Source organism: Homo sapiens, chromosome 12 (assembly GCF_000001405.40).
Source record: "Homo sapiens chromosome 12, GRCh38.p14 Primary Assembly".
Lineage (NCBI taxonomy): Eukaryota > Metazoa > Chordata > Mammalia > Primates > Hominidae > Homo > Homo sapiens.
In genome coordinates, this window is record NC_000012.12 from 23,583,290 (window position 1) to 23,608,951 (window position 25,662).

Below are 25,662 nucleotides of genomic sequence, written 5' to 3' on the forward strand. Positions count from 1 at the left end.
CTGTATAAATACAGTTTCCATATATTTACCAAGAAGAATGTCATATTGGAAGACCTTTAACCCACAATATCACATGAAAACCCACTCATAGAAATTCCACAGAGTAAGCTTTTCTAACTATTCTTGAAAAGAGGAAGAATGCGAGGAATACTCGTGTCAACAATAATGTGTGATGAGAACAGTTATAACATGAGCCAGTAGGAAATGTATGGTGTTTCCAATTCAACTTTGTTTAACCTCTGGTCCCCAGACAACTTCAAATTCCTAATAATAATGGTTATTTTGTCCTATAGTGTTCATTACGGCTGGATGATTGCTGTTATCTTTTAAAATGATTAACAGTTCTTCTACCAAGAGGCTAAAAGGAAGCATAGAGCAGTAAGAATTGATGTTAATAATCACACCAGTTCCTCTTTTTAACCTCTAAATGTAAATCTCCAAAAGCTTTTAAAAATGCTTTAGAGAAATTAAAGAGTTGATCACTCCTTGAACAAGAAAATGTAATGTGTTTTTGACACCACCTGATAAGTCCTTAAATTTATAATTACAAAGCATTTGTCATTGTTGCTTTCCTGTTAGTTCCACTGGAAGATTTGTATACAAACATAAGCCAAGAACTACACAACTGTTTAATGATGGAATAGATTAACAAAAAAAGTAAAACAGGAGCTCACAGAGCAATACGACTTTATAAAACAAAGAAATAGAAGTCATGCTGATCAAATTCTACTATCATCTCTATGTTGGAAATGGTACTTCCACCTGAACCTAAATGTACAAAATGAGCACATCAGCATCTCTACTGGAATCTACAAAAGGAATTACTATCAAAAGGAAAGCACAACAACACATCATCATCAAAGCAAATCAGTGGTAGAAGGTTTGATCCACTGGAGTCATATAAAAGAGAAGTAAAAATACCACATGAAGGCACGGATAGCCCATTGACGGGGGGAAAAAACCACTGATGAAAATATTAATGAAACACTGATGAACCTGAAACAAAACAAAATGAAATACTTTGAAGGACTCCCAGAGGGCTCCAAAATTCCTTTTTAAAAATATATCTATGGCTCTCTGAGAGATTTATGTTTTCTCAGATCTTTGAAAAGTTTGGTCTGGTTATACGCAGATAGGCCATCTTTAGATAACAACCTGGCAGAGTGGGAGAAATCATAGAAAGCATCATTATGCATAAGTCATTTATTACGAGCTCCAATTAATTACATCAAAGAGTCATTCCCAGTGCTCACATACATGCATGCACAGCTCCTATGGCACAAATCTCCAACAGTCTGGTGAACCCACTATAACTGACTGTTTAATGAGTAATGACAGTTACGACAGTTAACTGATATAAACCATGCATTGGTTTATATTTGGGAGATGAGTGAAGGCCAAATTGTCTAAGGCACAGAACCTTGGAGAAGGACAGGTGTGAGTGTGTGTGTGTGTGTGTATGTGTGTGTGTTTAATGGATTAAACATTAGAATGAGACACTAAGCAAGAAAAGGCTAGGGAAGCCTAAGGCAGCACCCTAGTGTTACTGAGTGTAGCATTCATATCACTGTATTTCATTTTATTGTGTTGTTTTCTTGAACATCTCGTGGCTAAATAATCAAATTTCAAACAGTTTAAGACAATTTTCATTTTTAAAGTGATCTGAGTACTCTCTTTACACCCACATATACCTTGAATAGAAAAAAATTTACTAGATACTATTAACTACTAAATGTTAATGGATAGTGGAGATTAATCAATAACTAACTCGATAAATTCTAAGTTTTTCCTATTGTTTTTAATATAGCATTTCAAAGGTTATTTACGTTTACGTACAATGCACATACACATCGAGCAAATGTGATTTTGACTTGTGAATAACAGAATAGGAACATATGCACTACCAAAATGTATCCCTCCATATTTAAATCTCTTGTAATGAATTCTCCTCACCACTTGAATTTCAGTTCTTCTCAGTCTTCAGAACTTTGCTCCCTTGCTTTCCTCTTAAGAGTTGAAAGTTTGATGTCCCTGGGACTCACTGCTTTCTACTCAGAGATGTCTGCTAACAAAGCCATTGTCAGGAACTATTTAGCCACAGGCTTCCTCCTATTAACGTAACTTGAGACTTGACTAGGTCAGTACATCCAAACTACAACTTTTTTCATTCCATTCATTACAGATAGAGGAAAGGGGGCAGTCATTGAAGACAAAGGTAAAAAGTCCAAAAATAAGTAAAAATAAAATTTAAATGCAAAACTCACTTCTCGTACTCCACTTGCTTTAACCTAGACTGAGTTCCACTGTTCAGGTTAAGAGCAGTACAGTAATAGTGATATAGGAGTTAGTAAGAAATTATTTAGGCAGTTAGTGAGGTTAAAGGAGTTCTCAGTGGAATTTTTCTTTAATAAAAAGCAGCCCCTAAAACATTTCTAACAAAAAGCACCCTGAGAAATCAAGCTGCAAACATAGATAAGCAAGCTAGAAGTTTGCATAGGTAAATGCCGGCAGCTATGTCAGAAGCCAGGTACATTCAACATGGAGGATATCTCCTCTCTTCTCTTTGTCGCCCCCGTGTGTGGGTGTCATGGCAACGGCCAGGTAAACCCCATTTGCATAATAAAAGATTCACGGGCTATGTAAATGGCACACCTGACACCTGGTCAATCCAATCTCCTGGGCCCTATGTGAATCAAATACGGCCTCCTTAAGCCCCTCTATAAAATGGACCACATCTCTCCCCAAACCCAGAAATCCGCTTGAACATCCCCTTCCTCTGCATGAGGAAGCGCGCTCTCTCTCTCCCTCCTTTCTTTTGCCTATTAAACTTTACGCTCTTAAACCCACTCCGTGTGTATGTGTCTGCATTTTTGTTCCCCTTAGCACAAGATCACGAACCTCGAGTAAGACAACAAGGCCACTTAATTAGCAATTTTCCTTTATGAACACAAAATTAGAACAGTTGTGCCATCTACCCCTGTCTCTTGTTTTTCCCCCAAGTGGTAGGTTAATTCTTTAATTTGTTCCACAAACACTATTCCCAAGAGAGTGGTAGGTCATGAGACAGAAGAAATCTATACACTAGAAGAGAAAACATTTTAAGGCAATGTAAGTGACTAGGAAACTTCGATAGTGAAATAAATATCATTATGATTAATCTAAAACAATGTCATGAAGGAAGAGTTTTACGGGGAAAAAAAAATTCTTGCATTTCATTTCGTTCGGATTATTTAGATTGAATTATTTGTCACTAAAGTGATTGATTCTTGGATTTGAATTCTGGATATTAGGTGTTTAAATTTTATAACTTTTCATAAAGTTATCATTTCCTTATTCTGTGAATCCTTAGACCACTTTTTTTTTTTTCTTGAAGAGTCTGAAAACTTACAAAAATATATCAAGGGCATGAGTTGTTGGAAGATTAAGTCTCAAAAATTTGCTTTTTTGATTAGATGAATTTTTACTAGAAATGACCTAAAGATTATTTCCCCTCCTCAACATATTCATCAAAGCAATTATTTGTCACTTATGATTGACTTAAAGTGTTTTTTCCTTTTTTCTTCTCTCATAATTAACCTCTTAGTGAATAAATAAAAGGCACAGTATAGGTCTATTTAAATACAGATATTATATATTATATATTTTTTATATATTTTTACCTGAGAACTTCTCCCTACACCAAAAGAAATGCTGATTTTATAATGTAATTTTGTCATGGAGAGAGCTAGTTTTTAAGGAAGAAATAAATACTTAAAGCCCAATATACTATTTGTTACACAAACATTTTGAAGAATAAGTTAAACATTACAAAACTATGAAAGTATGTTTAGTGGGTTTCATAACCTAAAAACTTCTAACTTTTAAAAATAACTTAAATTATTATATAGCTCTTCACTTTTCAGGGCTGATTTTCTAATACTATTTACTCCTTGACATCTAAATTTTACAAGTAACAAAACATCTCCATATATTTTATTTTATTCGTACAGAAAGATTACGAGATATCATCAACCCCACTTCACAGATAAAGAGAAGGAGGTTGAAGATACTCAAAAATTTGCTAACAGTCATACCTTAAAGAAGCCTCAGACTTGAACCCAAGTCATAAAGGTGTAAGCTTAGGCAACTTTTCAAAGCTGCTTCTCTATTATTTAAATGCCAATAGGAAAAATAATCATTAAAAAATAATTTCTTTGAAAAATTAGACTGCAATCATGTAATTTCTTTTTAATTCTGAAGAATTTTTTCTATCCCATAGATAGGCACCTTGTAATGTTCAATTTGAGTAATACTGGTCGAGACCCTCACAAAATTTTTATGACACTAAATCATAAAGTATTTTAACAAAGTAGCTACGATAAATTCAAAATGTATTCATAATCCTAAAATTTATATCAAAAGAATACATATTTCGAATAAACACCATAAACATCCTTAACACTATTATTTATATAGACCTATTTGCCTTCAACTTAATACACATGTCAATTTATATACATCCAATTCCTTTCCAGTCACTTGGAGAGGAACTAATATTGAAAGAAGTGAAGGAGAGGATGGAAAAGACCTTTAGCCCACTTACTGGCTCGGCCAAAGGCTATGAATCCATCCCAGGTTTATTTCAAATGAGTTGTGTCAAAGGTTACCCACCGGCCATTTTATAGTGATTTATAGCTGATGTCTGCAAATCTCCTTTATTTTAATGATAACCTCAATAGAGTCATTAAGGCATTCTTTGTCTTCATGGCAGTGACCAGGAGAGAACTGATGTCTTTAAAGAATTCCAAGGGGTGATGACTATTTATACAGAATGTCAGTTAAGGCCAGTTTTTATGTTATGCTCTGGAGACAAAATATTTTTTCTCAACATATTAAAGATGCTTAGCTTGATGATATATTCTGCCTATTGATACTATAATATTAAATTCAAGGTATGGGTGAAAGAAAATTCAAATAAAGATGAGAAAAGGCTTAGAACTGAGCATCAGGTAAGAGTTTGATCTTAATTATAACGATTTTGGATTTGTATCAAAGCTCTCACAGAATAATGATTCTTAAGTGTCTATACTGTGTCAAGCATGTCATAAAGCATGAGGAATTGCAAGATTGATTTATCAGATATTCATTTAAGAAATAGTCCATTAAAATAATTAATGTGTAGTGAAACTCAGCTGTAATGCTCGTTTAATTTTTCCCAGCCCATAACATTAAAAGAATAATAAATTTACAGTCTGAATTCCATAAAAGACTTTATATAGCAACTCTAATGACATCATTACCCAAGAGTTTTGATCATACTTTTTAGAAAGAATTAAAGAGACAAAATGAGTATATTTGCCTTAGAGCTTATCTTATTTTGAATGTTGCTTTGGTCCATCACATTGCCAGATAAAATTGATCTGTATTCTTGATTATTGTAGTATGGGATAGTGCACACACACACACACACACACACACACACATATGTACACATATAAATATATGGTCATGTACTGTATAGGAACACCAACATTTTGGTGAACCATGGACTGCCTATATGACAGTGGTCCCATAAGATTATAATACTATATTTTTACTATACCTTTTCTATGTTTAGATACACAAATACCATTTTGTTACACCTGCCTACACTATTCAGTAGAGTAACATACTGTACAGGTTTGCAGCCTAGAAGTAATAGGCTGTATCATGTAACCTAAGTGTGTAGTAGCCTATACTATCTAGGTTTGTATAAGTACATGCTATGATGCTTATGCAACAATGAAATCACCAATGATAGGACATATCCCCATCATTAAGTGATGTGTGACTATGCATACATATAAATATATCCATACATATAACATAAACGACTATGTCTTTGTATGGGTGGGAAGTTTCTCTGCCATTTTTGAGATAATTTTTTTTTTGCATAAAAGAGAAGCAGAGAAAAATAACCTTACAAAATGAAATACAATTTTTTCCATCCTAAAACTTTATTTGAACTATCAATTAAACAATATAACAAAACTGGACAATATTTGTACAGGCTGTGCCTTTCATTTCAGGATCAACTCGACTCTTCAGCAGCTTATGTAAGGGAGGTCCACTCACTTAAAGATGTATTCACAGTAAACAAACTCATGGAGGTAATGCATAAAACAGACTGCCAATTAATTCATTTATACCTGACCTAAATATTGCTGAGTTTTCTACAGTACACCTTTCCTAATTTCAAGATATCTAAAAAACCCAATTTCACAATCAGAACCAGGGCAAAAAGAGGTAAATGGCGAATACTTTATTTAAAGCACAGTAAGGGCTGGGAAGTAAGGCATAGTTCACTATAGATAATATCTCTCCAGTGGTCAAAGGCTCATATTTCCTAAATTCAGTATATTTCACCTAGACTGACAGGTTAAATAAGAACAAATCTTACTTTTAAATTTCAGAGTCGTTTTGTATAAATAACATTGTTTCATTTTTCTTAGGTACAATCTTATTCTACTCATACTGCCTTATCTTCCAATGATCCAAACCATTGACCTTTGATCATGTATTTATTCTTCTAAAAGAAGTAGAGCATTAATTACAAGCCAAGTATTGTGCTTGGTGCTAAGGATGATTAAGCTATAATCCCTACCCTCATGGGACTGAGGATCATACAAAGGAAGACAAGTACAATGAAGTATTATAAGTGTGCTTTGATACTATTCAAGGAGTATGTGTTTGTGCAGTGGGGTGACATACAATGTAACAGCAAATTCTATTTAGAATTCTATATAGAAATGACGGTTTAGATGGATATTATATTGCTAGTGGTGCTAAAAAAGAGAGAAAAGTGAAATGAACAGGGCAGAAGCAACCCAGAGAGGTCCAGTGTCACAAACATAGGCAAAAATAATTGAAATAGCATGATACCTGAGAAAGTGATTTCATCTGAAGTATACATTTCTGGAACTGGGAGAAAGGCAGAAGTATTAATTAGGCTAGGGAGGTAGGTGGGGCTAGATTGCAGAATGCCATGCTAAGGAAGTTAGACTTCATTTTTTACACACTTGTATCTTTATATTTTCATTCTTCTTAAATTCACTCACAAAGTTCTACAGATGTATTACACTCAACCTTGTTTCTTTCTCCAAAATTCAGATAAAATCCAACCTTTTATTCATTCATACCTATGTGTCCTTGCACAGACTGTTTCCATTTTCCTTCAAAAACCTTCTAAATGTCACACCTTCTGGAACCCTTTTCCTTATTCTCCTATTTCTCCCCAGGTTATGTTACAAAGTTTCTTCCTTACCTCCATATTATTCTTTGAATAGCACTTAGCCTACAGTATTTTAATTGTTGGCTTACTTGTTTGTTTTCCCCATTATATTGTACTGTGTGTTAATTGCTGTTCTTTTTTTATTCTACCAAAGTGTCCAGCATATTAGAGGTGCTCAAAAGGTTTACTGAAGAATCCTCTATAGAAGTTGTTTTGACATCTTCTAAAAGTAATTCTAGAAGGCTCATCTGTGAATAACAGTCATTACATGATTTTTAAAAATTTATATAAACAACGTATTGCTTTGTTTCAAGCAAAATGTAATGTCTCTTGCTTGGAACAGATAAACAACGTGTCTCTTTCCCAAGGAAAACATTCTCATCTCTCCTTACCCAGTAGAAGATAACTCATTTATGACAAGTTATATTTTATTAACTATCTATTCTAAGTGGATCTTGTTTTTTAAAGCAGGACTCAAACATATTTTGAAAAAATATTTTTTAAAAAATCTTATTTCTTTTTGTCTTATTAAATTCTCAATGTCTTATTTTATGTGCTCAATTCTAAAAAAATATATAGTTATACAAATGTTCAAAAGTTCACCTTAACAATAGCTAGAAAGCATATTACTGCAGTTAAAAAAATCCTTATACAGACACATTCTCTTAGATTGTGTTGTATTAGTAAGCATAATTTTGCAAAGATTGAAACAGTGAAAATGATATTACAAACTATGATAACTAGGGTTCAATTAATATTAAGATTTAGTTATTATAATGCAAACATTAATCAGGTGTACATTTGTTAAGAGCCTATTAGGGGCCAGCTACTTAAAATTCAATAAGATAGAAGATGTTTCTAATGTGGTCCATCCTATAGAATTGATATCTTCTTCACTTATTTTGTTGTAACTCCATAAATTATAGTCCTGGATAGAACAGATCAGAATTCTAGTTCAGTGTAACTTAATGAATGCTAATAGAAAAAGATAAGCAAAATCAAAACAAACACAAATTACCTAGAGGTTCTCTTAAAATGGGACCAGAATCATCATTTTTTAGAGAAACGACAGTGCTATTTGCATGAAAACTGGCACTAAAAATTCCATCATTTGACCCAAAATTCTTGCCTTGCCCTGTATTCATGTAGGGTTGACCTGAATATTGAGCTCCCACTGGCTTAAAGTGAAACTTTGATCCTCAGAAGAGTTGCATAGAGAAGTATAGAAAACACAAATCTGTACCTATTTAAAGACATTCCTGTTGCTGTCACAATGCTTCTTAAAACATACTTCACAACAGTATTTTTTTTCTTATGTTATTTGAAGTGCTACTGGAAATACCACAAGAGAAGAATTTTTGTAGTATTTCATCCTTTCTATTTCTGGTCTCAATTTATTTTTCTCCTATTTATGAAATATCTACACTGCCAAAGTCATCAAAATTGTAAAGCAAATCATAACAGTTCAAATTATATAATAAAGTAAAAAAAAATAAGATTCCTTGGTTCTTTAAAGGTCCAATTTAAATGAAAGTCTCCCACAGAATACCAATGCTGGCAACTGGCCTTGCAAAGCACTACAACAGAGCTTTAAGAAAATATAATTTGCGGTTTCGTGAAAATGTGAGGTTATTAGACTTTCTTGGTATTGGTAAAAAATTTGAAAGAAAATACATTTTTATCTATTTGAGTATACATTTTTTCTTTCATATTATTCTGATAAGACCCGAAAAAGGAAAATTCTTTTAATTTTCTATAAATTTAGATGTCTGATCCTCATCTTTTTAAAAACCAAAATGATAAAACATATTTCTTAAACTGTTGGGTTCTGAAAAAGTCACCCAATGGAATCAGCTAGTTCACATTTGAAAATGCAACTGCTAAAAGCTGTGGGATATTGCAATTTAAGTCCTGCAGCTCACAAGGCAAAGTGTGTAATTCTAAGAAGCATCAAAAGATACTATCTACAAGGAGATTCAGGACTAGAAAAGGAGCATGTTCTTCCCATTACAACCTGGTATATGACTTGGGTTTCGACAAATTCCTACCTATTCTTGATATTTAGAAACTTTTATTTTTCAAGCAGCAGTCTGATAATCAGTTTCTTAGCAATATTCAATAATTCTGAACCATTGAGAGTGCATGTTTCAAATTTAATATTGATAAGCTGAAGATTTCAATGAGCAAAATTCTTATTTCAGTATAGACAAAATTTCAAATATATATTCAATTTAAATAAGAGATATAAAATTACTCTGGGCTGGGCGCGGTGGCTCATGCCTGTAATCCCAGCACTTTGGGAAGCTGAGGCGTGTGGATCACCTGAGGTCAGGAGTTGGAGACCAGCCTGACCAACATGGTGAAACCCCATCTCTACTAAAAATACAAAAATTAGCTGGGTGTGGCAGCAGGCACCTGTAGTCCCAGCTACTCAGGAGGCTGAGACAGGAGAATTGCTTGAACCTGGGAGGCAAAGGTTGCAGTGAGCCAAGATCGCGCCCCTGCACTCCAGCCTGGGCAATGGAGTTAGACCCTGTCTCAAAAATAAATAAATAAATAAATAAATTACTGTTTCCTTAAAAAAAATAGTTTTTCTAAATTTCAAATAGGTAGTTCATGTTTCCTATATTCTCCAACTTTACAATACATAAGACAAGGAATATGTGCCTACGAATTCCCCTGATCATATTACACAGACTCTAAACAATTCAGGTAATGTAAATTATACCACTGCATCTGTTGAAGACCTTTTCTCCCACATTTAATACTAATCAAGTCATACAATTTCTGGTCTTTGTTTTAAAAACCATAATTAAGAATGACTGGGTTCTTCAGCTGAGTGTTAGCAGTAATGAGAAACCATATGAATAATGATGGAGAACCTCATTTTCTTATAATATTTTGGATAGGCTCTGGATTAAAATAATCTCTATTGCTCCTTACACTAGCTTTGTGCAGTTAATGCCACTACCATATTGTATGTACATTAGTGAATGTGAAAACAGGTAAAACTGAAAAGAATCTCATTTTATGAAATATAATGCAATAAAACTGATGTATTAGATCTTTGTATATAAACTCATCAATCTCACTAATATAAATTGAATATTAAGTGCTTTAAGAAAGTACATGTTTAAATAAATGATATAATTTTTTTTACCAAGAAAATAACATTATTTAAATAAATTTTATAAAAGTTTTACAGAAGTTTTTGGTGTTTTTCTTTGTTAAGCAGGTGGCGTTGCATGTTTATATGACAGGAGGTGTGACCTTTAAAAAGCATATACTAACTGGAAAGAGGTAGAGAAGAAGGAAGAGAAAAAAGGAGAGAGAGAGAGAGGGAAGTGGGATTTAAACATATATGAAAGCAAAAACCACACTAATCAGAAATTTGGGTGTTTTTTCTTATGTGACTTGTTTATCTACTTAAAAGGCATTAAGTAAAACAAGAGCTCCAAAACTCTTATGAGCACTAGTATGTAGCAATTATAGTTTTTTAAGCTGACTATTTTAAAATGAATACTCATGTAATAGTGTTAGTGTCAAAATATCATCTAAAAAGTTGACTTTGTAACTTGCTTCACATAGGTGGTGACAGGTACTATCAACTGTATGTGTTTTCCTATATTGCCAGCGAAAACCTGCTGATGAAATGAATCTGGAAAAAAAAAAACAAAACAGGAAGTATTCTGCGTTGAATCTACACTCCTGGTCCGTACTTGCTGCCCTTCTTCAACTATATCTATTGTCTCTATCTACATTCTTCTTCATATCCCTCACTTTATACACTGTGCTACGTGAGCACACATATCTATCTACACTGTTGACCACTATCCTCAGGTCCTAGGACTCCAACACATCACAGGCAATTAACAAATATTTGTGGAATTACGTCTCTCCAACAGCAACATCCAGGATATGTCACTGGGGCTCAAATTCCAGTATGTTTCTAAGGGAGTGCTGTAGAAGCCCTTAAAATATTAATTAATTAATTAATTGGCACAGGAGATAAAAAAATTCCTTTGCTACAAAGACATAATACCTAAGAGAGGAAGACAATGAGTACATAATAACAATAGCTAGATAAGTAGTGTGACAGATAGAAAATATATCATTTATCTTTAAAAATGAATATATTTAGAATATAATTCAAAGTCCTGAACATGAAAAAATCCTATAGGATCTGGTCTTTCTCATTTCCCAACCTGACTCTTTATCATTCTCCTTCATGTTCACTGCACTTTAGCTACCCCAGCCTTTTCTCTGAACCTTGAATTCACTAATCTCATTCACATATTAGAGTCTTTGCAATTACTTTCCCTCCTGTTTAGAATAACCTTTCCTTAGACCTTTACAGGTGTCCTCCTTTTCACGATTTCAGAGAGGGCTTCCCTTAAAGCTCTCTCCCAAGAAGATTCCCTTTCTTGTCCCCAGCACACTATCTTTGACCATGTTTTATTTTCTTCATATCACTTAGCATGCACAAAATTACCCATTTGTTTAATTGCCCATAGTTCGCTTCTCCCCATTACACTGTGAAATTGTAAGAGTACTACTGTTTTGTTTACAGCTGTAGTTCTACTGGCTTGAATTAAATTTGATATATGATAGAAATAATATTTGTTGAATCAGTGAATGGTAGATGTAAACATAGGGTGCTATAGAACACTAAAAAGGGACCATCCTTTTAAGAATGAAAAAAGAGCAGAGCTAGGAAATACAAATCAACTCTGTAAGATATTGTTTGGGATCCTGATTAAACCACACATGAAATCTGAAGAACTTCTTAAAAAAAAATTGTGGGCCGGACACGGTGGCTCACGCCTGTAATCCCAGCACTTTGGGAGGCCGAGGCCGGCGGATCATGAGGTCAGAAGATTGAGACCATCCTGGCTAACACGGTGAAACCCCGTCTCTACTAAAAATACAAAAAAATCAGCTGGGCGTGGTGGCACCTGTTGTCCCAGCTACTTGAGAGGCTGAGGCAGGAGAATGGTGTGAACCCGGGAGGCGGAGCTTGCAGTGAGCCCAGATTGTGCCACTGCACTCCAGCCTGGGCCACAGAGTGAGACTCTGCCTCAAAAAAAAAAAAAAAAAAAAAAAAAAAATGTGACCGAATGTACTTCCATTTTCTATCACTTGCAACTGAAAGAGAACTGAATAATGTAATTGTTATTCAGTGAAACCACAAGAAAAAGTCCTGGAAAGATGCTTTCAGTTCTCTTTAAATAAGAACATTGTGATATTAAGGCTTATTCTGAAATACTACCTGTTGGGTACAATGCAAGCTATTCCAGTTATGAGCACACTAAAAGCCTAGGCCTCACCACTAAGCAATATATCCTTGTAACACAACTGTACTTGTACTCCTAAATCCATAACAATGAAGAAAATAACAAAAAAGACTTATTCTGAATAAGACAATGCTGTCTCATTAACTGGTGGACTCCTTGATATTGCGAGACTCTAGGCAGAAGCAAAGTTACCTTGAGACTGGGTTATTGTGTCTTGGACTGAATACCTTCTGGGCTTCCAACTTAAGCTTACATACCTCTATAAATAAAATGTCTTATACATTTTATCAAACAAATACAACTTTTGAGTACTTCGGGTTTTTAAGTACTCTTCAGTTTAGAATATTACATGTCTATTTTCCAACCCTCATGTCTACCTCTGTGTAGTCAGTATATCGTTCTCTTTCTGCTCTCCATTTCGTAATGTTTAAAAATACTATTAGTATTCTTTATTTTCTCTAGTGGAAAATCTAGATAAAATCTATTGAATAATTTTGCATATATACTATTTTCCATCAACCTAAATAAGACATCAGTAATTGTTGTCATTTTACAAACAAATTTATACTTTGAGGCATCTCTGTAAGAGAGACCGCTAAAATTCTTCTTTTATGAATAAGTAAGAATGTGTAAGCAACATATATTTAATACAGAGAGGGAACCAACTCTGACATTAAGAATAGTCCTCCTTAGTTTCACGTATCAAGTCTCAAACCAAACAGTTCCAGTACAGGTGACGGCTAAAGTGATAAAAAGGAGTTGATTATTGACAGCTCCAAAGGAGGCAATGATCAATAGTTTAGCATAAAAAATAAAAGATTTCAACTGTTTTAAAGTATGCTTTAGGAAGTCAAAATTATAAATGATTCCCCCCAAAAAAGAGTAACTACAGAAACGTACTTTTGCTTTCTCAGTCTCTGACACAATAATGACTTAGCATTTTTAGCTATGATGTTCATTGAGGTTTTATCAGATAACAATAGCTAGATAAGTAGTGTGACAGGTAGAAAATATATCATTTATCTTTAAAAATGAATATATTTAGAATATAATTCAAAGTCCTGAACTATACCCAGACATCCTTTCTTATTGTCCTGTTTTTATTTCCCTAAACGACTTAGGTTTTAACTACCTGCTGTTTTTGATTACAATGTTTCAAACACACAGATTTTTAGATGGTGAAATCTACTTTGGGTTGCACCTACTTTACAGTCCAAGTTTCCCTTAAAAAATCTGATTCTGTGGATCTTCCTGAGTCTGCACATGCTCCACATCCTCTTCTTTCCCCATGGTTTGCATTATTAAAAAGCTTTGACATGGCTCACCATGCTGTGTGCATGAGACATGTTTCTGTCAAAACAAAATCAGTATACTGGGATACACAGCCCAGGCTGGTAAAATTCAAAGGACATTACCTAAATCATTCTGCATATTTTGCTTTTTTCATTTAACGCTGAGATTACAACTAGCCTCTTTTATAATTTTTATTGTTTTTATGGTAAAAATGTGACCAACCCTCAACTTTCTGCATCATAAGAATATTTCACCTAATGATCTATTTGGACATTTAATACCACAGAGCCCAGAAAAGCCTCTGTTTAAGTACCTAGCTGTTTGAGATTTCCATCAACTGAATAAAGATGAAAAGGAGAGGAGGAGGCTCATCACAGGGGTTCTGTTGATAACATTTCATTTAACTTATTTCCATGTAGCAACACAGAACCACAAAAAGAAAACTATTTTATTTAAAATGACAGGGCAACTATGTTATATCCACTGTAAATATGTCCCACCCAGGAAGTGATGATAATGATAATGGGCTGCATTTGCAGTTTAACTCTATGGGGTGATTCTTCTTAGATGAATTCACCTCTTGAGTATATGACACATCCATATTACATCTCAAAGGCTAACAAAATAGTTATTTCACAGATACTGAAATAAAGGAGAGAAAGAGGTTTTCAATAGCTATTTAACAAAGAATACAGAATAATTTATTAAGGAGATTCTAGCATTTAAGTGATATGCCAGATACTGTTAAGATTAGAAAATGGTCAATTTAAATGCGGTTATAATTAGCTGAGGCTAATACCCCTTTCTGTCCTGAACTTGTGGGAGAAATGGAATCTACAAAAGTACCAGGCCCAACAGTTTCAGGATGGATCAGTGATTTGATGCTGATATGTAGAGATAAATGGCGGCTCCTCTTTTATTAATACTATTTCAGCACTGTGAATTACTTAGAAATACTACATTCACAGACCAGTTTTAGCCCTGTGTAGTAAGCCATGATTTGAGATTTTGACCTGAAAAGCTCTCAGAGTAAGTCAAATAGTAGTATTCTAAAACTTTAACATATTGGAAATAACACCTCTAGAAACTACCACTCAAAATTTCACATGGTCAGATGAAATGTGAAAACTATTAAATGAGGTTATGGTTATATTGAGCAGTGCTTTTTGAACTTTTCACCATGGAAATATTGCTGTGGAGGCCTTAGCATTTCCTAGTCCATTTCAAACTCATGAAGTCTCTTTGTTGTCTTGTGCTTTATCTTTTTTTTTTTTTTTTTTTTTTTTTTTTTGACATGGAGTCTCCCTCTGTTGCCCAGGCTGGAGTGCAGTGGCGCGATCTCGGCTCACTGCAAGCTCCGCCTCCTGGGTTCATGCTATTCTCCTGCCTCAGCCTCCCGAGTAGCTGGGACTACAGGCGCCTGCCACCACGCCCGGCTAATTTTTTGTATTTTTTAGTAGAGATGGGGTTTCACCATGTTATCCAGGAAGGTCTCGATCTCCTGACCTCATGATCCATCCACCTCGGCCTCCCAAAGTGCTGGGATTACAGGTGTGAGCCAACGCACCCGGCCACTCTTGTGCTATATCTTTAACAGATGTTTTTTGTCACAATATTAAAAATAAAGTTTTATACTTTGTGTTAGTGGTAGGTAGACTTGGTTGTGATTATGCTGTATGTGCGGTTTGTATTCTGCCTTTTTCCCCACTTGGCATTATAAAACATTGTCTCAAATTACCAAAAATGCTTTCATTTCCCAAATCTCCTGTGAGAACTAATTCTCAATCAAGATGAATTTTGATTATCCTCTGATTTCTCGTACTGCTAGCATATTGCTAAGTAATCTGGTGTGTATGTGTACCACAAATTGTGACTCATAGTATTAAACTACAAAATTCTACCCTGCAGATTAGTGTGTATTGATATAACGTTTACTTGATAGCGTGAAACTATGTGATTGGTACCATTTCAGCAAAAAAATAGGTTCCCTAATAGGAGTCATCGGCACTGCTGATATTACTAACAGAAACACATGGTACCACATCGGGCAAAATCTTTACTATGCCTTTGAAAGAGGCTCAGATAACAATAAAGTTCCAGTTTTTGCTTCTGAATTTGAAGCAACATTATAAGGATAGTGCAGCTCAAAGAATCTGATTGTGTCTGGTCAGCTGGTTAGGGCCATTTCTGGCTTGTCGGAGAAATATTTCTTTTCCTTGTCATACTCCCAGGTGCTACTGCTGAGCAAATGGGAACATCACTGTCAGAAGTATTCGAAAAGAACAAAAAATTGATTCGGACAATCTGTGTGCTCTTGCCATTGATAGAAACACAACTGTGACTTGGGGTATGACCAGGGTCACGGCAAGGTTAAAAGAAAAGCACCCAGGAATTCTCTCTTGTCATCAGCTTTTTAAACTGACTGTTCTTGGCTGCTGCAGGCAATATGTAAGTTTCCGTCAAACACCAAGGTAGGTTTAATAGTATTTACAAGTTGCTCTTAGGATTTTCCCAAGAGGTAGCTACTTTTACAATGGCAGAACACTTACAATGTGAAGTTTGGATGTTTAGCACACCTATAACATTTGAGGACTTCTTGATAACACAGAACTATAAGCCTATTCATAACTAACAATTATACGAGCTGTGTGTGAAACTGAGTCTAAATACTCTTCCTCCTAAAATAACTCTTTTAAGCCTGATACTGATTCCATTAAATTTAAAAGAAATAATTTATTCTTAGAAAACAAATGTATCGAAAGATCAATTACTATAACAAAGCAAAGGTCATCTAGTCTCTTAAAAGACTACATGAAAGTATGTGGAAATTCATTTGAATAAATATGTGGTGCAAAAATGAAAGTTGCTGAATACATTGCATATTGGTTCATTCTGTGGCAGAAAGTTAAACTACAAGCAAATAATTAAAACATTTGTTAAGGCCATAAGCAGACTCAAAGCAACATTATTGTATATGTGATTCAAACGTCAATACTGCTTAACAATACCTCAATTAAATAATTTTCTTTAATGTGAGAAGGTAGAATTATTTTTATAATTTTCATTAAACAGGATCTCCTGTCATAAAAGTTCAAGGTTTTATACTTTCACTCAGACTTATTTGCCAACATTTAGCCATAAACATAGCTGTTAGGACACACAAGAGCTAGAATAATATCTGCGAAGAGCTAAACATATTCGCTTTTGTGGGTCAATGAAAAAAATAGTCCTGGAGTAAGATCCAAAAGGGAACAAATTAAATAATTGCTGAAGAGACAAGCGTATGAGTATTTAGAAAAATTTTATTGTAACAGCTGAGAAATTTTTAAAATCTGTCAATGCTCTTAATTCTGTATCATCCAGTCTTTGGCAAGATAGACCATGGCGGGGGGGGTGCATATATATATATATATATATATATATATATACACATACTTGGCTTGGGACTAAAAAAACCAAGGCATTGAGAAAAGAAAAAGTAACTCATGACAATATGTCAGGCATTAGTGCAAACAGTTCACAAACAGTAAGTTCAAGGACCTGTAACTCAACAAGCAACAATATGCATGTTCTTGAATGCAGATTTTGAACAGACCAGATTTCTTTTTGTGTTTTCACATTTACAGAACACAACTCCAGTGTGCCGTTTTCAGAGGTTCACTGTGAGTCCTCTAAAGGTTTCTTTATCATTTAATATTATAAATAATTATGCTCCTGGGCTGCAGTTCAAAGCTCAGTACAGCACTCGTATAACACCACAGGCAGGTCAGGTGACCTTTCTCCAATTCTCCTCTCTCTGGTGCTGAGGACAGACAAAGTGATATGTCTGTCATACGCCATTACCATTAGAACAGAATCTTGTTCTTTTATTACAACTGAACTCCGCCAGATTTCTCAGCAGGAATGCTAAGTGAAATCAATGTCTTGGATTTCCAGGCTGAGCTTGGAGGTCACAGCCACTCTATCATTTCTCAGCATTATCCTTTCTCTCTCGCGCACACACTCCCCAAGCCACCAACTGGCACACAGCAGATTGAAAACAGCATGCATCAGAGGACTCATGCTGTACAATTTTACAGTCTTTTGGAGCCCCCTCCTTTCGATTTCCCCCTTCCATTTTTTGCAAATTGCAAATAAGTTTTGTTTGTGTCCCTCTCTAGAGTTCTGAGTCAAAGGCAAAAGCATACCCAGGAAGAAAGGCAGGCAATACAACTCAGAGAACATGGTTAATTTTCCACAGCTATCAATAAGATCATTAATCTCACATCATCACCTGGTTGTGACTTATGATTTCATTGTTCCAAACAGCAAATGTACTTTTAACTTAAACCATCAATTTGGTTTATGCCAGGTAGGTATGTAGACAACACAAAACCCTTTAATAAAATAACTCTATTTTATGGTAACATAGACATGAACATTTGCCAATAAAACACACAGAAAATACCCCCAAGACATTCATAATCGATTGCTTAAAAACATAAATATGATAATAAATGATGGCTATTATACATGAATAAAATAGCTTTGTGAAGTCAAAATGTTTATTATGCTATGTATAAACGTCAATTCCAGGCTACAAGAAAGTAAATTCATGTATTGTAATGGGTCCTCTTTATTTATTATAGGTTGTATTTTTTTGGCCATGTTCTTCATTAAAATGACAACAGTATTACTTATTGGTGTGGCTATTTTTAACCCACTACATTTTACTGCTGAGCTAAAACACAAACACACTGAAGAAATCTTTTCTGACAATAAGAGTGGTTGTGGACAGTATGCTAGAGGGCACTGAGCAAAGAAAGGGCATATTTTTATTAAATCGTTGTTACTTGAAAAGAGGCACTTTATTCTTAGTTAAACCTTTGTGTATTTTACAATAATTGTGGATGGAAAGAAGTACAACACCCACTATAAACCACATAAAGTTTTCTTAAACTTTATATGATAGAAAATTCATAAAGGCTCACTTTCAAAAAGTCATTGAATTTCAAAGAAGAACTATATTTTTAAATAATGTATAATCATGGCTATAGAAACACAATCTACTTTTTCACTTGTATTAAATAAACAGAGGTATATAACACCACAGGATGTGGCAGATTTCTGACACTACTGAAATACTCATTCTCTTTTGCACAAAGTCTATGAGGTTCTATGAATGTATAGAACTATATAGTTCATAAAGCAATTTCTTAATCTTAGCAAAGCAAACCTTCAGTTACTTTAGCATTTTCCATGGTTACCTAAATAAAATCATTGTAGCGACTGCTCAATAAACATTTGAATGGATAAATGAGTGAATGGACAAATTAGTAGATGCATAAATGGATGAGGCTGACTGACATCAAAAGCTTCATGATGATTTGTATAAGTAATCTGGTGAGAAGGTATCAATGATAAAAAGTGAATGTAGGTGTAAGAAAAAAATCCGTCAGCCATTTAAAAGTGAGCTACATATCCTAAAATCATAAAGCAAAATGTCCTGACGTAAAGCCTCATTACGAAACATGATGTGAAATCACATCAATAAATCAAGGGAAAAAACAGAGAATAATACCTCACAGACACACATTGTCTGTGTGTGACAATGACTATGCTGCTACAGCTATTTATTTTATCCAAAGTACATTTTTCTTTACAGGTAATACATGAAAACTGCTGGTCCACAGAAACACTAAAATTATCACTACTTTAAAATTAAATGTATTTAAGAAATGTTAAAATTATTACCAGTTTTAAAAACTTACATGCTGTTGTGATTATAAAGAAAAGCAGACCAGGCCTTAGATATACATTAAGCACAGAAGATGCACAGTCCATTAAACAACTGAAATAGATCTTCAAAGTGGCATATGTATACTCCTACTGTCAATGTAGTGTGTACAATAATTTTCATTAAATATTTCTACATATTGCTGAAAAAGCATGGTCTAAGGTCCTTGTCCAGGTTAAGTTATATTCCCCAAAATATTTGTCTTTTAATAATATGGAAAAGGACTGGGGAATTCTAGGAAGATGGAGGTTAGAGTGCCCTTTTCCAAATGATTGATTGATCCCTTCTCCTTACTGATTTACTCTCTGGAGTATACAATAACTCTGAAAGACATCCTGACAGAGCCACCAGGGTACTAGAGAAAGATTTTTTGAGGATTCTTGGATTTTTCTCTTTTAATATTTTCTAATCCTTTTCTCTGTGTATTTCAATGATTGTGACTATTCTTACACTGTTTTGTTTTAGACATGTCAACATGGCATTCATGGGATGGAGAACAGAAGCAATTTTCTACATAATTCAGCAAAATAAATATATATATAAAATATATATATATATATATATATTTTGCTGGTAAACTAACTGCGTCAGCTTTCTACTTAACATTTCCTAATAGAATCAAATTATTTGTGGTTGTTTCCCTGAGTAATCTCAAGGAATACTGCTTTACGATCACTCTTCTTACTTCTTGCATGGAAAGCTTAATATATTTATACAATATCATTTAAGCAAGATCTTAATACAAATACAAATTTAAAATCAATTTTTCTCTCCTTCTAGGCCAAGAAACATACATTATTTGACTTTTCCCTGATCCTTTTCCATGTGTTCTAATGTTTTCTTAGCTTAAAAACCAAAACCACTTCTAAATTGCCTTACTTCTAACACTACTATTACCTTCATTTCCTTACATGATAATCTCATTGGGCGGGTGATTTATCTAAAATTATACCTACACTGTACCACATTATAACAGTCACTGATATTTTTAAAACACCTTCTGTAGGTCCTAATTCTACTTGTATTTTAAGGTCTATTTCAGTTTTCCCTTCTCTGGCAAACTCCTGATGGGATCTCTCCCTGAAGATGATCTCTGCCTCCCAATATAACTTCCAATGTACTTTATCTGTAACTTTTTACAAAATTTATTTTGTATCATAGAGTATGGCTATTTGGCTATTTTTATAAATATCTACATAATCAGACTGTAAGCTCCTTGGGTACAAGATACCCATCTGATAATCTTTTTTATCTCTCACATTTTCTACTATAGTTATCGATACACGCATATTGAATAAATGAATAAATGAATGATTCAATGTATGCAGATAAGTTGACATGCACACCTGTTGCCCTTACTTGATTCTTACCTCCTTGTACACCCAGAGTTTAAGCTAGCTGCTGGCATACAATAGACATTTAATAAATACCATTGAATGAAAAATAAAGCTAAGTGGCAAGACAGTGGCTTCTTCAAAAGGGTACCTTGCTTTTGGGTGGTGGGCTGTTTGTGCTCTTGTCTGTGTGAATGCTGGTAGGAGATACAGCAGCACCAAGGTTGCCTTGGGGTATGCCTGGCAGCTTCCCTCCTGGAGATACCTGCATTGCAGCTAGCTGGGCAGCATATAACTGCTACAGAAGAAAAAGAGAGAGAGGGAGAAAGAATACTGTGAATAATAAAATAAACGTACCATTCAGAAAGTACATATATTCAGATATGGTATTTTTCCTATGAGCATTTTGTTTAGTGCACTGGAATATTTAAAGAAAGAAGCTGTCACCTCAGATTTCATTACTTTTTAGGGGAGAAATGACAGATACTACATATAAGTGATCTCACCTTCAGTATGTCCAAGGACTCAAAGCAAATAAGAGCCATCCAAATTTACTTTATTCCAATGTCTATAGAAGGCAAGTATAACATATTATCTAGTTAAGAGCTCTTTATATTCTACTTTAAATTTACACAGTGTGTTACAAAAGGATGCTTCATATACACAGTAATTTTCTACTATCCATATTGGTTCAAGCCCTGTATGCCTCTTTCTTTGATTTCTTGAAATGGGCACCCGAAACAATTTTTCTGAGTGTTAGGTGGGTAGAAGTACAGAAAAGGCACTGAAAGGCAACGGGAAAAAAGTACTTGAAGAAGATTATCTGGTCAGTCTACCTACATTGATAAAAATTAACTGGATGCTTGCCAGAAGTTCACTTTACTTCATGATATGTAAACACAGACAAATCTCAAATTATCTTGACGACTAAGGTTTTAAAGAATACTGCCTAAAACACATATTCTTCCACTAAGCCATTACTTATTCTTATTAAATAAGCAATAAAATTGTCCAAGTAATTAATAAAAGAAAAATTTTACTTTGATAATGATAGCCGTATGATGTATTATCCTAAAACAAGGAAGTTGCTTTAAATTCAAATATTACATCAAATATTTAATTATTACTCTTTTCATTTTCCTTTCACAACTTTGTTAAAATTTTAAATAACTATGTAAGAAAATAATTATTAAATAAATATATCATATATTTAAATTACTAAATATTTAATTATATATTTAATATTAAATAAATTTTACACACACACACACACATCCCAGTTTCTTATTTCTCATTTGTCTTGAGATTCCATGGATAGCGTTTACAATGCAAGCTAGAATTTCTACAATGAAGCAAGAAAAAATGCTCTCAAGGAGAAGTACTGTGAAATAGTTATCTGGATTATCTTGATTTTTTTTCTGAAAGAGAAATTCCAAACAACAAAATTGCTCATGATAAGCCACAGATCCTGATTAGCAGTGTCTCTCTCTAAATAAAATAATGAAAACTGAAGACAGCACACATTTATGTGAAAATACACATACATAAGTCTCCAGATACTATAACCTAAATAAAAATACATTAAAGTTATCGATAAAAATTATGGCTTAATTTTATGCAAATTAATGTAAAATATATCCCAGAGAAAACTAAAAGACCAGAAAAATATTTTTATATTAATAATTGTCTCATAAGGGTTTTATGTGTTGGAATAATTACATCTTTTCTTACCCCAGCCAACTGGAAAGAATAAAAATGATTGTCTTCAATTACATAAACATTAAAAGGATAATTCACTTCAAAAAGGAAGACTTGAGAGTTTACTATTTAAAGAAAAATGATCAGAATTGATCCATTTCTCCCATCTGTCTTAAAAATCTATGCATTATATACTGCAATTTAAAAAGCACTTCTTTCTGGCATCATTCTAAACTACTTATAAAGTCTTTAAGAAAATAACCAGTTATCCTAGGATATCACTTTACAGATTAAAACTCTGACCAGTAGAATGCATGTACTAATATTGAATTTAAAAACTATATGTATATTCACAAGTTAACTAGATAACTATATTACATTTTATGAATTTCATATTGTATTGTATATTGTATTCTTGTCTTTAAAAATGATTTCACTGGGTATTATTACTAGAGGATAAAAGTTCCTATTACTGATTCGTTATACACTAAAAATGAAATTATTTTATAATTACTAATGACATGGAACATACAATATCTGTGATAAAGAAAATGTGAACAAAACAGTTATTCAAAATTTAATTTTGATTCTTCATATTACTGACAAAATTATTGGTTATTTGTGTTATTTAGATATTTAAATCGCTTAACCAAGTAGCCATTAAATGTGATTCAATATTTAAATATTAGGCACCAGAGACAGTCATAATTTCCAAAGAAATATAAGAACTATTATTAAAAATACAAGTATAAAAACTCTAAAATAGTTTATTGAATTAAAGGATTTAAAGGATGGAGAAGACACATATTTGGAAATAAAAGTTATACATATACTTTCATCGTTCAAATAAATATATTTACCCTTTTAAATATGGAATTAAGGTGTATCTGAGTTAAATTGTCCTAAAAGAAATGCTTTTGAGTTGAAAGGGAAGAAACATTTGTAAAAGAGATAGACCCAGTTGAATATGCAATATTTCTATAATAACAGTATAATATCATTTGCCTTGCTGGTATTTCTACAGAATACAGAGACGGAATGTAATTTATGATGAGAATTTCATAAACCTGCTATTCAGTTCGAGGATGGCTAACATTAGGTTGCTCTTCTCTCCCCCAAATTGCCCATAAACCCTTTCTCATATTTGGCTTCTGTGCAAGAGGACAAATTTTAGAATTACTCTTCTCCAACTGTGATCAGTTTTCCACTATTCCCACATCACTGCATTTTCCACCAAGCATATCAGATTTTCCTGGTTCACCAAGGTATTGAAGTAAGGCCAGGAAATATCTATTTCAACACATTTTGTGTCATAGATATGTTTTCCTAAAAGTTATATTCTAACACAAAAGCAAAAATGAACCCCGTCTTAGAGAATTTAACATACTTTGAGTCTGCTCAGATAAGATCAATCAGGAATTTTAATACTCTTGCATTCTAACTTGGCCATTTACAAGTTAATAGGAAATTTCAGTAAAATTAAAGAAGCTGACAATAATTCTTCTATCTGGCTACATATGTAAGAGTGGATAATTTTTTTAAAATGCTGCTCTGACTTATTTTAATTCACACTTTTAAAAAATTATGCTCCTTTTTCTCTCCATTAAAATATGTGTAGTGAATGATTTTAAAACAAATAAGCCAAGAAATGATGAGCAGTTTCCTTCTTTTATTAAACGTTCTTAAAGCAAAATCAAGCCTAATAACAGGTGTCTGCCCTAATAACAGGTGATGTCTACAGTCACAGAACCATTGGTTGACCTTGTAGATGGGAAAGGGGCATGAAATCTAGTGACCACTGGAAGGCCACCTGAAATAACAAGCACCTGGAGAACTATACAATCCACTTATGTTTGTACGTATGTATGCCTGTATGTCTTAAAGTGAAAATCTGGTTAACATCTTTCTTTAAATAATAACAGATAAAACCCAAAGTTAAACATAAGGTATATTATGATGAATGTATTTTTATGATAGTGAAGTTGTCTAAAACATCGGAAACAAACAGGTGACACTAAACAAACTGATGACACTAAACATAAAAGGCTGAGCTGAGCCAGGTGTGGTGGCTCACACCTGTAACCTCAGCACTTTGGGAGGCAGAGACAGGAGGACTGCTTGAGCCTGGGAGTTTGAGACCAGCCTGGGCAACATAGTGAGACGTTGTCTCAAAAGAAAAAAGAAAAAAAAAAAAAAAAAAAAAAAAAAGGCTGAGCTGAAAGAGAACACTCATTTCATTAGTTTAACCAGACTCACAGTATCTTAGCCTCGCAGAATAACAGAATAACTTGACTCTTACCTTGAAACTAATGTGTTAGGGATTGGATGTGATCTCTAAAACTTCACAACTCCTCAGAGCTTTCCAGTCTTTCTATTGCTTAAAACATTGCATTCTCATTCTCTTTCACTACCCTCATACCTGTACCTCCTTTAGACAATGAGTTTTTAAGGAAACAATTACAAATGATTAGGTTAGAATTTATTATTGATTACTTCGTGTCTTCCTGGTACTCAAAGTTCATAAATATGTTTTTACATACATGTATATAAATATAAGCAACTCCTATTTTTGTCTCAAATTGCTCCATAACCTAGATTTTTGTCTCTTCAACATTTTAAGCTCCTTGAAAGATCATGCTTTCTACTTCTAGTGGAAAACTTAAAAAGCAAGAGCTTTGGACAAGGCAGAACTGAATTCTAATTGCAACTCTAAGCCATGTGACCTTGGGCAACTTCTCTGAGCCACAGTTCCTTAATATGTAAATTCAGGGATAAATGAAATTGACCTTATAAAGGTACTGTGAGAAATGAATCACATGATGTGTACAAAACACTCAGGAAAGCACATGGTAAAGAATGCCTGATCAATAAAAAATAGTTATAATTATTAATGGATTAAATACACAAAGTAAGAAACTAGGCAACATATATGTGCTGACTCTGGACTATTATTGATATAGCAGAGGAGAGAGAAAGTGTACAAACATAGTTTCTGCCTTAAGTCAAGACTGATAAACA

General features: G+C 33.8%; 1 protein-coding gene across 42 annotated transcripts in view, besides 1 other annotated feature; it reads right to left on the reverse strand.

Annotated features, from left to right (window-relative positions):
• Positions 1-25,662, reverse strand: part of SOX5 (SRY-box transcription factor 5) — a 1,033,147-nt gene that overhangs the window by 53,786 nt on the left and 953,699 nt on the right. For 41 of the 42 annotated variants that reach the window (XM_024449159.2, XM_024449158.2, XM_047429458.1 and 38 more), the window contains one exon: positions 21,098-21,244. In XM_024449159.2, the coding sequence (XP_024304927.1) occupies positions 21,098-21,244 (147 nt within the window). Of the gene's footprint in view, positions 1-1,257; positions 1,298-21,097; positions 21,245-25,662 lie in introns of those variants that run through there. The other variant, NM_178010.4, reaches the window with a different exon arrangement.
• Positions 2,381-2,967: an enhancer, noted in NCBI's record as "OCT4-NANOG hESC enhancer chr12:23738604-23739190 (GRCh37/hg19 assembly coordinates)". NCBI's record gives its function as "activates a minimal SCP1, AML or CMV promoter by ChIP-STARR-seq in naive H9 embryonic stem cells {active_cell/tissue: H9 hESC(naive)}" and the evidence as "EXISTENCE:reporter gene assay evidence [ECO:0000049][PMID:30033119]".